Source organism: Homo sapiens, chromosome 2, assembly GCF_000001405.40.
Source record: "Homo sapiens chromosome 2, GRCh38.p14 Primary Assembly".
Taxonomy (NCBI): domain Eukaryota; kingdom Metazoa; phylum Chordata; class Mammalia; order Primates; family Hominidae; genus Homo; species Homo sapiens.
The window spans coordinates 84,643,105-84,655,627 of NC_000002.12; the positions used below are offsets into that span (position 1 = coordinate 84,643,105).

General features: G+C 37.9%; 1 protein-coding gene across 14 annotated transcripts in view; it reads left to right on the forward strand.

Moving 5' to 3' along the window:
* The window catches only part of DNAH6 (dynein axonemal heavy chain 6), a 360,018-nt gene that overhangs the window by 183,533 nt on the left and 163,962 nt on the right, over nt 1-12,523 (forward strand). For all 14 annotated transcript variants that reach the window (XM_011532650.4, XM_011532649.3, XM_006711956.3 and 11 more), the window contains 2 exons: nt 10,215-10,770; nt 11,556-11,678. In XM_011532650.4, the coding sequence (XP_011530952.1) occupies nt 10,215-10,770; nt 11,556-11,678 (679 nt within the window). The remainder of the gene's footprint in view (nt 1-10,214; nt 10,771-11,555; nt 11,679-12,523) is intronic.

The window sequence follows — 12,523 nt, forward strand, 5'->3', positions numbered from 1 at the left end:
TTTATTTCTCCTTCACTTTTGAAGGATAATTTCACAGGGTACAGAATTCTAGGTTGGTGGGGTTTTCCTCATATGTTTCACTCCACTCTCTTCTTGCTTGCATAGTTTCTGAGGAAAAGTCAAATGTAATTCTTATCTTTGCTCATCTATAGGTAAAGTGGGGTTTTTTTTTTCCTTCTGGCTTATTTCTATATTTTTTCTTTATCTTTAATTTTCTATGGTTTTAAAGTGACCTGCTTCGGTATAATTTTTAGGTATTTATCCTGCTTAGTGTTTTCTGAGTTTCCTGGATCTAAGGTTTGGTGTGTGACATTAATTTGGGGAAATTCTGCCATTATTCTTTCAAATATTTCTTCTGTTTTTTTCTCCCTCTCTTACCCTCTGGTATTCCCACTGCACACGTGGTACTCCTTTTGTAGTTGTACCATGGTTCTTGGGTATTATGTTGCTTTTACAGTCTTTATTCTCTTTACTTTTCAGTTTCAGAGGTTTCTATTGAGGTATCCTCAAGCTCAGAGATACTTTCCTCAGCTGTGTCCAATCTACTAATAAGCCTATCAAAGGCATTCTTCATCTCTGTTATAGTGTGCTGGTTTTTATAATTCATTTCTTTCTGCTTCTTTCTTTGGCTTTCCATATCTCTGCTTATATTGCCCAGCTGTTTCTGCATGCTGTCCATTTTATCCATTAAAGCCTTTCACATATTAATCATCATTGTTCTAAATCCCTGTCTGATAATTTCAGCATCCCTCCCATGTCTGGTTCTACTGCTTGCTCTGTCTCTTCAAATTGTGTTTTTTTTTGTTTTATTTTGTTTGTTTGTTTTTGTTTTTTTGCCTTTTAGTATGCCTCATAATATTTTCTTGATAGCTGGACATGATGTACTGGTTAAAAGGAACTGGGCCAAAAGTAAATTGGCTGTAAGTAATGTAGTGGTAAGGTGCAGCAGGAGAGAAAGTGTTCTATTGTCCTAGGATTAGGACTCAGTCTTTTAATGAGCCTATGCCTTTGAATGGTAGGCTTCATAAGTGTTTCTCAGTTTCTTCTCCCCGTTAGGTGGTACAGGGTGGCTACAGTGGCCTAGAGTTGGGTAATTCCCTTCTCCCAGTGAAAGGCTAGCGCCAGCTGGAGTTGATGTTTCCCCTCCCCCGGATCTGTTAAGCTCTGACAAAACTCTAGCAGGTTAGGCTCTGATTAACTCTCCTGGCTTCTCCTTATTAGGAAGAGCAGAGTGCTCCAGCCTATTTCAGAATGGTTTCTTTTCCCCTCCCCTGACAGAAGCATGAAGAGATTTCTTTTCTTTTTCAAATGTGATTTTTTTTTTCATTTCCAACTTTTATTTTGAGGTCCAGGATACATGTGCAGGATGTACAGTTTTGTTATGTAGGTAAACATGTGCCATGGTGGTTTGCTGCACAGATCATCCCATCACCCAGGCATTCAGCCCAGCATCCACTAGCTATTTTTCCTGACCCTCTCCCTCCTCCCACTCCCCACCCTCCAACAGCTCTGGTGTGTGTTGTTCCCCACCATGTGTCCATGTGCTCTCATCATTTAGCTCCTACTTATAAGTAAGAGCATACAGTATTTGATGTTCTGTTCCTGCATTAGTTTGCTAAGGATAATGGCCTCCAGCTCCATCCACGTTCCTGCAAAGGATATAATCTCATTCCTTTTTATGGCTGTGTATTATTCCAAGGTGCATATGTACCACATTTTCTTTATCCAGTCTATCATTGATGGGCTTTTAGGTTGGTTACACGTCTTTGCTATTTTGAATAATACTGCAATGAACATACACATGCATATGTCTTTATAACAGAATGACTTGTATTTCTTTAAGTATATACCCAGTAATGGGATTGCTGGGTCAAATGGTAGTTCTGTTTTTAGCTCTTTGGGGAATCACTAAACTGCTTTCCACAGTGGTTGAACTAATTTACACTCCCACCAACAGTGTAAAAGCATTCTTTTTTCCTCCACAACCTCATCAACATCTGTTTTTTTTCGACTTTTTAGTAATAGCCATTCTAGGCCGGGGGTGGTGGCTCATGCCTGTAATCCCAACACTTTGGGAGGATGAGGCAGGTGGATCATCTGAGGTCAGGAGTTTGAGACCAGCCTGACCAATATGGTGAAACCCTGTCTGTACTAAAAATACAAAATTAGCTGGGCATGGTGGCACATGCCTGTAATCCCAGCTACTTGGGAGGCTGAGGCAGGAGAATCACTTGAAACCGTGAGGTGGAGGTTGCAGTAAGCCGAGATTGTGCCATTGCACTCCAGCCTGGACAACAAAAGTGAAACTCTGTCTCAAAAAATAATAATAATAATAATAGCCATTCTAACTGACATGAGATGGTATCACATTGTGGTTTTGATTTGCATTTCTCTATTGATCAGTAATGTTGAGCTTTTTTTCATATGTTTGTTGGCCGCATGTGGTGTCTTCTTTAGAGAAGTGCCTGTTCATGCACTTTGCCCACTTTTTAATGGGGCTGTTTGTTTTTTCTTGTAAATTTGTTTAAGTTCCTTATAGATGCTGGATATTAGACCTTTGCCAAATGCATAGATTGCAAAAATATTCACATGATGGGATTTCTCTCAGATATTTACTCCAAGACTTGGTTGAGCTCCTAGAGGTAAAACTCACAAAAGATGTGCCCCTCCACCCCATGACTGGATGCCCCTGGAGTTTTTAACTCTCAGACATCTCCACATCTAGCCTCAAGCAATTTATCAATTACAGCTCACATTTTCCTACCCTGGCACTGGCTCCCATACTAGTTTGTTGTAATCCTGTGTATGTGACTGTCTGTGTCTCCAAAGTTGAGGGCAGAGGTATCTACAGGCATACCTCATTTTATTTCACTTCATTTTACTGCACTTCGCAGATATCATATATTTTACAAATTGAAGGTTTGTAGCAACCCTTCATGAAGCAAGTTTATCAGCACAGTTTTTCCAGTAGCTTGTGTTCACCATGTGTATATGTGGCAATTTTAATAATTCTCACAATATTTCAAACTTTTTTATTATTGTATCTGTTATGGTGATCTGTGATCATTGATCTTTGATGTTACTATTGCAGTTGTTCTGGGAGCACCACAAACTGCACCCATACATAACAGCAAACTTAATTGATAAATGTGTGTGCTCTGACTGCTCCACAGACAGCCATTCTCCCATCTCTCTCCTTCTCCTTGGGCCTCCCTCTTCTCTGAGACATAATAATATTGAAATTAGGCCAACTAATGACCCTACAGTGGTCTCTAGTGTTCAAGTGAAAGGAAGAGTCACACACCTCTCACCTTAAATCAGAAGCTGGAAACGATTAAGCTTAGTGAGGAAGGCATGTCTAAAGCCAAGATAGGCTGAAAGCTAGGCCTCTTGTGCCAAATAGCCTAATTGTGAATGCAAAGGAAAAGATATTGAAAGAAATTAAAAGTGCTACTCCAGTGAATACATGAATGGTAAGAAAGAGAAAGTAACCTTATTGCTGCTATGGAGAAAGTTTTAGTGGTCTGGATAAAAGATTAAACCAGCCACAACATTCCATTAAGCCAAAGCCTAATCCAGATCAAGGCTCTGACTCTCTTCAATTCTATAAAGGAGGAGAGAGTGGTGAGGAAGCTGCAGAAGAAAAGTTCAAAGCTAGCAGACATGTGACTGAATTGCTGCAATCTCATAATAAAACCTGCATGGATGAGGAGTTGCTTCTTATAGATTAGCAAAGAAAGTCATTTTTTTGTTTGTTTGCTTTGAGATAGTCTCACTCTGCCCCCCAGGCTGGAGTGCAGTAACACAGTCTTGGCTCACTGCAACCTCTGCCTCCCGGGTTCAAGCAATTCTCCTGCCTCAGCCTCCCGAGTAGCTGGGACTACAGGCACATGCCACCACCCATGGCTAATTTTGTATTTTTGGTAGAGACAGAGTTTCACCATGTTGGCCAGGCTGATCTTGAACTCCTGGCCTCAAGTGATCAGCCCGCCTCAGCCTCCCAAAGTGCTGGCATTACAGGTGTGAGCCACCGTACCCGGCCAAAAGTAGTTTCTTGTGATGGGATCTACTCCTGGTGAAGTAGCTAGCTTCAAACTTCTTTCCCTCGCTAGCTTCATGAAGGTTTCTTCATGAAGTTGAAGCAAAGAAGCTATTTCCATAACATAAGGTACAAGGTAAAGTAGCAAATGCTGATGTAGAGGCTGCAGTAAGTTATCCAGATCTAGCTAAGAACACTGATGAAGGTGGCTACACTAAGCAACAGATTTTTAATGTAGATAAAACAGCCTTCTGTTAGAAGATGATGCCATATAGGACTTTCATAGTGAAAAAGGAGAAACCAACACCTGGCTTCAAAGCTTTAAAGGCCAGGCTGACTCTAGTTAGGGGCTAAAGCAACTGGTGGTTTTAAGTTAAAGCCAGTGCTCATTTACCACTCCAAAAACCCTAGGGCCCTTAAGAATTACACTAAATCTACTCTACCTGTGCTCTAAAAATGAAACAACAAGGCATGGATGACAGTATGTCTGTTTAGAGAATGGTTTACTGAATATTTTAACCCTTTTCCCATTTGCCCCAAGAGTACTCGCTGGCAGCACTTGTGGCTGCAGAATTTAACCCGAGATAACTTTGCCATGAATTATCTTTTATTATTATTTTCACATTGCTGTAGTATACTGACTTTGGAAACAAAAGGCATCATTCTATAGCATTCTGTTTTTAGTAGTGGTATTTCTGCTTACAAAACATAGTAGTTCTTGATCACTGAAAATGTCAAATCCTAGAAAGCATAACATTCCTATGCATGATGTTAACATTGTTTTTTTAATAGTTGTTGGCCCAAGATTCATTTGATGAATCTGATTTTTCCTAAATAGATGACTCTGATGATTTGGATGATTCTAATGTTAGTTCTGTTTAGAAATAACTCCAAGAACAGTTTTTATATTTTATTTTCACACTGAAAAGCAGTCAGATTTGCTTCAGCCTCAAAGAGCATGTTTATGTAAAATTAAATGAGCACTGGCAGCAAGCTGCCCTTTTTTGTTCTAAATGAGAAAAGGGCTAAATCACCATTGAGAACTACTACTCAGAAAAAAAGACTCCTTTTAAAATATTACTGCTCATTGGCAATGAACCTGGTCACTCAAGACCTCTGAGGGAGATGTACAAGATGAATGTTGTTTTCATGTCTGCTAACACAACATCCATTCTGTAGCCCATGGATCAAGGAGTACTTTCAACTTTCAAGTCTTATTATTTAAGAAACATATTTTGTGATGCTCTATCTGCCATTGATAGTGATTTCTCTAATGGATCCAGGCAAAGTTAATTTAAAAACCTTCTGAAAAGGATTCATCATTCTAGATGTCATTAAGAACATTCATGATTCATGGTAAGACAGAATGTCAACATTAATAAGAGTTTGGAAACAGTTGATTCCAACCCTCATGGATGATTTTGAGGGGTTTTAGACCTCAGTGGAGGAAGTAACTACAGATGTGGTAGAAATAGCAAAAGAACTAGAATTAGAAGTGGAGCCTGAAGATGTGACTGAATTGCTGCGATCTCATGATCAAACGTGAATAGATGAGGAGTTGCTTCTTATGGATTAGCAAAGAAAGTAGTTTCCTGAGATGGGATCTATTCCTGGTGAAGATGCTGTGAACGTTGTTAAAATGACAACAAAAGACTCTGTTGCATAAATATAGTTGATAAAGCAATGGAAGAGTTTGAGAGAACTGACTTCAATTTTGAAAGAAGTTCTGCTGTGAGTAAAATGCTATCAAACAGCATCACATGCTACATAGATATCTTTCACAAAAGAGTCGATGAACGTGGCAAACATTATTGTCTTATTTTAAGAAATTGCCACAGTCACTCCAGCCTTCAGCAACTACCACCCTGCTCAGTCAGCAGCTATCAACATTGAGGTAAGACCCTCTGCCAGCAAAAGCCGATGGCTCAGATGGTCATTAGCCTTTTTTAGCAATAAAGCGTTTTTAAATAAAGGTATGTACATTTTTTAGACATAATGCTATTGCATGCTTAAATGACTACAGTATAGCATGAAGATTAATTTTATATGCACTGAGAAACCAAAAAATTCATATGAGTTGCTTTATTGCTATATTCACTTTATTGTAGTGGTCTGAAACTGAACCCACAGCATCTCTGAAGGATGCTTATATATAAATATACGATTAAGTTTCACAATGAATGGTAATACGATGTTCATAATAGGAGCTCATATTTTCATTTTATCATGTTCTTTCTTCCTTTCTGATGCTCCAAGTTTGCTTCTTTCATCATTTTCTTTTTGCTTAGAGAACTTCCCTTTAGCCATTCTTCATGGTAGATCTGCTGGCTACAAATTCATTTCCTTTTCCTTTATCTGAGAATGTCTTGATTTCCCTTCATTCCAGAGGGATATTTCCCCTGGATATAGGATTCTGGAGTGACAGTTCTTTCAGGACTTGAAAGCTGTTGTACCATATACTTCCCAGGTACACCATGAAATTCTGTGCAGCCATAAAAAGGAATGAGATCATGTTCCTTTTCAGGAACATGGATGAAGCTGGACACCATTATCCTCAGCAAACTATAAAAAGGAATGAGATCATGTTCCTTTTCAGGGACATGGATGAAGCTGGACACCATTATCCTCAGCAAACTAACGCAGGAACAGAAAACCAAACACCACATGTTCCCACTTATAAGTGGGAGCTGAAAAATGATGGGTTGATAGGTGCAGCAAACCACCATGGCACACACTTACCTATGTAACAAACCTGCACATCCTGCACATGTACCCCAGAACTGAAAATAAAACATTTTTTTAAAAAGATGTTTTCCACTTCCTGTCAGCCTGCATGGTCTCTGATGAGAATTCTGTTGTCATTTTATGTGTTTTTTTCCCTGTTCATAAGGTGTCATTTTTTTTTTCTTCTGGCTGCTGCTAAAATTGTTTTCTTTGTCTTCCATTTTTAGAAGTTGGACTATGTTGTATCTTCATATGGATTTCTTCGGGTTTATCCTGTTTTAGATTTGATCAACTTCTTAAATCTGTAGGTTCATGCTTTTTGGCAAATGTGTGACATTTTCAGTCATTATTTCTCTGAATACTTCTTCAGCTCTTTCATCCTTCCCCATCATTTGAGACTCCAGTGACACAAATATTAGATCTTTTGTTATATTTCCACAGGTCCCCAAGAGCTTCTCATTTCTTTTTTCAGACAATATTCTCCGTCTTGTTCAGATTGGGTAACTTCTATTATTCTATCTTGCAGTTTACCAAATCTTTCCTCTGTCCCTTCCATTTTGCTCTTGAACCCATCTATTGATTTTTTTGTTATTGTATTTTTTCAGTTCTAAAATTTCTAATAGGCTCTCTGTATTTTTTTTTTTTGGCTGAGATGTCCTTATATTCTTTTGTTTCTATTGTGTTCATAATGGGTCCTTAAAACATTTTTATGATGACTGTTTTAAGATAATGATCTCACCTGTGTGTAGTCACATGTACCTATAGTCTTGGCTAGTCAGAAGGCTGAGGCGGGAAGACTGTTTGAACCCAGGAGTTCAAGGCCAGCCTGGGCAGTATAGTGAGACCCTATCCCTTAAGAAATAAAATAAATTTGTCAGACAGTTTTAACGTTTCTCTCATCTCAGTGTTAGCATCTATTGATTGTCTCTCTTAGTTCAGTTTGAGATCTTTCTGGCTTTTGATGTGATGAATGATTTTCATTGAAACCTACTTATCTGAGGTATTATGTTATGAGACTCTAGATCTTATTTAAACTTATTTTAGCTGGCTTTTCCTGATGCCACACCAGCAAGAGAAATTAGAAATGCAACTTTGTTACTGCCAGGTGGGGATAGAATTCAAGCTTTATTGATATCTGGTGGGAGCAGTCATTTCTGCTGTGTAGGGGTGGGAGTTCCAGCTCCCTGGCAGTCCTCCAGTGATATTGTCCTGGATAGAAGAGTAGAAGCGCCTCATTACTGTTCCCCACGTGACCTCCACTGATGCCACAAGGGAAGACAGCTTTATTACCCCTGGACAGTGGTAAAAGTCCTGACTCTCCACTGATCCTCCTCTGATTCCACCTGTCAGAGAGCAGAAGGGGTGCTTCATTATTCTTGGGTAGGGCTGGAAGTCCAGGCTTCCCATATGGTCTACACTAATACCAAAGGGGGCATCATTACTTCCCAGTGAGGATGAAAGTACATCCCTATTTGGCCTTCTCTGACACCGTGGGAGAATGAGAAGAGGAATTTCAGGAGACTTGTTACACCCTAGCTAGAGTGGAAGTCTGGGCTCCGCACTCAGTGTCTGCTGGTGAGGGTAGGAATAAATACCTCAGGATTTTTCTGTGGTGTTTGGTTAGAGTAGAGCAGTTATTGCCTAAAAGTTTTCTGTCTTGCTGGGCTGCCCCTTTCCTGGGCTGCCCCTTTCCTGGTCCTTTGGATAAAGACAGTAAGCTTTTCCTGGGGCTTTTTTTTTTAAATCTGTGCCCATTGGCATTTCTAGATTGCCAGGATGTAAAAGACAAAAAGACACAAGGGACTAGTCACTGTGTTATTGCTTGCATCTTAAGGTACCTAGCCAGTCTGACTTCTCTCTACCTTTCAGAGTCTTCTTTTATTTATTTTATTTAATGTACAGGGATTTTAGTTGTACTTAATGGAAGGAATAGGGAAAAGTAAATCTGTTCCATCTTTCTGGAGAAATAAGTTGGTTGACACTTTCATGTATTACCTTTAATACATTTCTATTTTTACAGCTGTTGCTTTTTCAATTCGTTATATATCTTGAGCATCTTTTTCATGTTAGTATATATGCATGAGTCTTTTTTTTTTTACTGCTGCTAGATTGCTATTATATAAGATGGTACTTTGAGACATAATAAACCTATAGAACTACTTTAACATGAAAGGTCTTCTATATGGACATTTAGATTTTTTCCTAATTGTTTTCTATTCTAATAATGAATATTCCTATACATATATCTTTGCACACGTATGATATTTCTACAGGGGAGATTCCTGGAAGTAAGTTTCCTAGGTCATAGGGTTTGCACATTTTTTATTTAAATAGATTAAATCAAATTGTCTTCCAAAGATGACTTACCCTTTTATATTAACATAAGTGGTTTTACGAAGGCGCCTATTTCCCCATAAGTGTTTTAAAGAGAGGCCAAATGTAGTAGCCTATTTTAATAGTCATTTCTTTAACTATTAGAGTCATTGGGAATCATTTCCTATGTTCATTATTTATTTATAATTATTATTCTTGGAGCATGTTCCTATTGTACTCTTACTTATTGATTTATAGAAAGTCATAATCTTTATCTGATATAAACATTGGAAATGTTTTTCTAAGTCTCTCATTCATGCTTTAAGTTTGTATATAAAGCCTTTTATCTCACAGAAGTTTGATTTTTGTCTGTTTTTCTTTGTTCACTGTCAACTTTTTTTACAGTTGTAGATTTCCTGCCTTTCTTAGAAAGACCGCCTTACCACAATGTTGCAAAATTTAGCTCTTCTACTTTCTTCTAGTACTTTCATCACTTTATGTAAGGTTTTAACTGTATCACAAATGTATTTGTGTATATAATGTGAGGTAAAGATTTAGCTTCTTTTTTCCCATTGAAACATCTCATACTAACTGTTTCCTATAGAAATAGTCACATTTTTCCTTCCTTCTTGCATGATGCTAATTTTAATTATACATTCATCTTATTTTTCTGAATAGCCACATACAGTTAATGAGTATATGTAAGTGATTTTAGGAAAAGTTGAGCTATAAATATAATTTTTAAACAAAATTTTAAAATAATTTTAAATTTTTAAGTGAGATATTTTATAATTTTTTTAATAATTAAAAATAAGTTCATCACCTTCTATATGTTTGGTACTATGCCATGTACTGTGGGAAATACAGAAAGAAACATAAGAGATATCACTTACTCCCAAGAAGCTCCTAATATACTTAGGAACATTGGTCTACTGTACAGGAAACAAACAAAATCATACATGATATCAGAGAAATGATAGATTCTGGTACAGCACATAGGACAAACTAATACTGTACATGTCAGAAGAGAAAGATCAATGAGAAACAATAAGACTCATAATATTTCATTGATTGTAACAAATACGGGAAAATATCAATGACCAGTTGTTCCTAATTGATTTTATTTTTGTTTTGACAGTGGAATCATATCTGACCTTTTTCCTGGAGTCCAAATTCCAGAACATGATTATGGTATTTTACAATCAACAATTGTGGATGTCATGAATAGACAAAATCTTCAGCCTGAGATGTGTATGGTTAGAAAGGTGATACAGTTTTATGAAACTATGCTAGTAAGGCATGGTGTTATGTTAGTCGGGCCAACAGGAGGCGGCAAGACCACAGTTTACCGAATACTAGCAGAAACTTTAGGGAATTTACAAAAACTTGGGATAGAAAATTCCTTTTACCAAGCAGTTAAAACATATGTTCTCAACCCTAAATCAATTACCATGGGTGAATTATATGGAGAGGTTAATAACTTAACCTTGGAATGGAAAGATGGTTTGATGGCACTAAGTGTCCGAGCAGCTGTGAATGATACTTCAGAAGACCATAAATGGATCATCAGTGATGGGCCAGTAGATGCTCTTTGGATTGAAAACATGAATACAGTGCTGGATGATAACAAGATGCTTTGCCTGGCTAACAGTGAGAGGATTAAACTCACACCTCAAATTCACATGCTTTTTGAGGTAAGTGTACACATTACTGTGGAGTGAAATCATTCATTAAATTGGCATACTATCGTTACATTTTTTTCTCACACTGATGTAGCCTTTACTATCTATAATGTCTATTATTGTGTTCTGTTTACTTACTTATTAAGTCATCCTTTTGTAATAGATTGACAGTCAAAGTCTCAAATGTTCTTGTCTCTATAAATAGGAAGTACAATAAACTCTGGCTTCCCTGAGAGAGGGAGAGAGAGAAAGAGAGAGAGAGAGAGAAAGAAAGAGGAGAGAGAGAGAGAGCTTTGTATCATTTGAAATGCATTTTAAATTAAAAATTATTGCATTTAATAAGAATAAATTATCCCACCATGATATGAATATTTGATGAGGGATTGGGAGAGGAATGTGGACCAAGTACAGCTACCAACATTATGAAGGATGCCACCTGTGTTCTATTCATTCATCAAATACTGATTGAATGTCTAGTATGTGCTAGGGATTCTAATACAAGAATGAACAGGAGAAAAGAGAAAAGCAAAGAGAAGAAAGAAAAAAATAACTAGCCCTGCCCATAGAGTTTGACAGTATCCTCCTGTAGTTGTGGGAATTTTTTTCACCTTATACGTCATTTAACTTTCTTCCTCCATTTCTAATTACTTATTGCTCTCCCACTCTCTTCCACATGAAGCCCTTCAGTGTTGTTAGACTTTAAAAGTGTGAATCATTTTATAAGTGTGAACATTGAAGTTGGAGAAATAAGGAAGTATCATATTAGCTGTTTCCTGTTCAATTTTCTTCAACTTTAGGTGCAAGATCTGCGGGTTGCCTCCCCTGCAACAGTCAGTCGATGTGGAATGGTGTTTGTGGATCCTGAAGAACTGAAATGGATGCCTTATGTTAAAACTTGGATGAAGGGTATTTCTAAAAAAGTAAGTGCCATCAGATATTCCCCAATATCTCCATCTGTCAGGACTCATGTTGCCTTCTAGTGCACAAATAACAATAGGTTAAGGACTCATGGTTCTTGATTGAGGGGACTTCATTATTTTACCTAGTCCTCCCTGTGAATTCCTGGAATCGTCCAGGAATGTTTATATACTCCCCAAATCTGTCCTCATTTCTTGTTACCCCAGCCTGCCAGCCTGCCTACTCACCCTGCCTCCTGCCTATTCTGCCTGGCTTCTCCCCAGACTAGAAACACAAGCCACTTTTTTGAGTCCCTAAAAACACAGCTACAACAGCCTGAGGCATTGAGACTTCGCAGAAAGCTTGGGAGTAATAAAAGGAAGCAAAATGAAGAAAAAGAATATTTAAGTCCAGACCCTAACTGTCATTGTTTTTGGATTTTGAGAGCCCTTAACACCTATGACAGCCAAAGATAAAAGAAAACTCATTTACATCCTACCCCAATAGTAGGTGCAAGACCTAAGACACATTCTAACCTCAGAGGTACAATTCCACCCAAAGTGAAGGAAAGCTTATACATTGTTATTCAAAACAACTCAGTTTCATACTACTTTCTGTAGCTTCTGCATTCTAACACAGAATTTTCCTCTTTAGCTTAGCTTAACAAGTAGTCCTTTGAGATGTTTCCCCCACATCTCATCCCCTACTCCAAGTAAGCCATCTTCATCTCTGCCTCTCCCCCTCCAAAGATGAGCCAGAAAACTATTGTTTTCCTCCTTTTTAGGCATCAACAGTTTTAAGAATATTATGGTCTAGTCTCAGAGTACCTTATTAAAGACAGTAATTCTCAGAATTGAGAGTTTGTCAT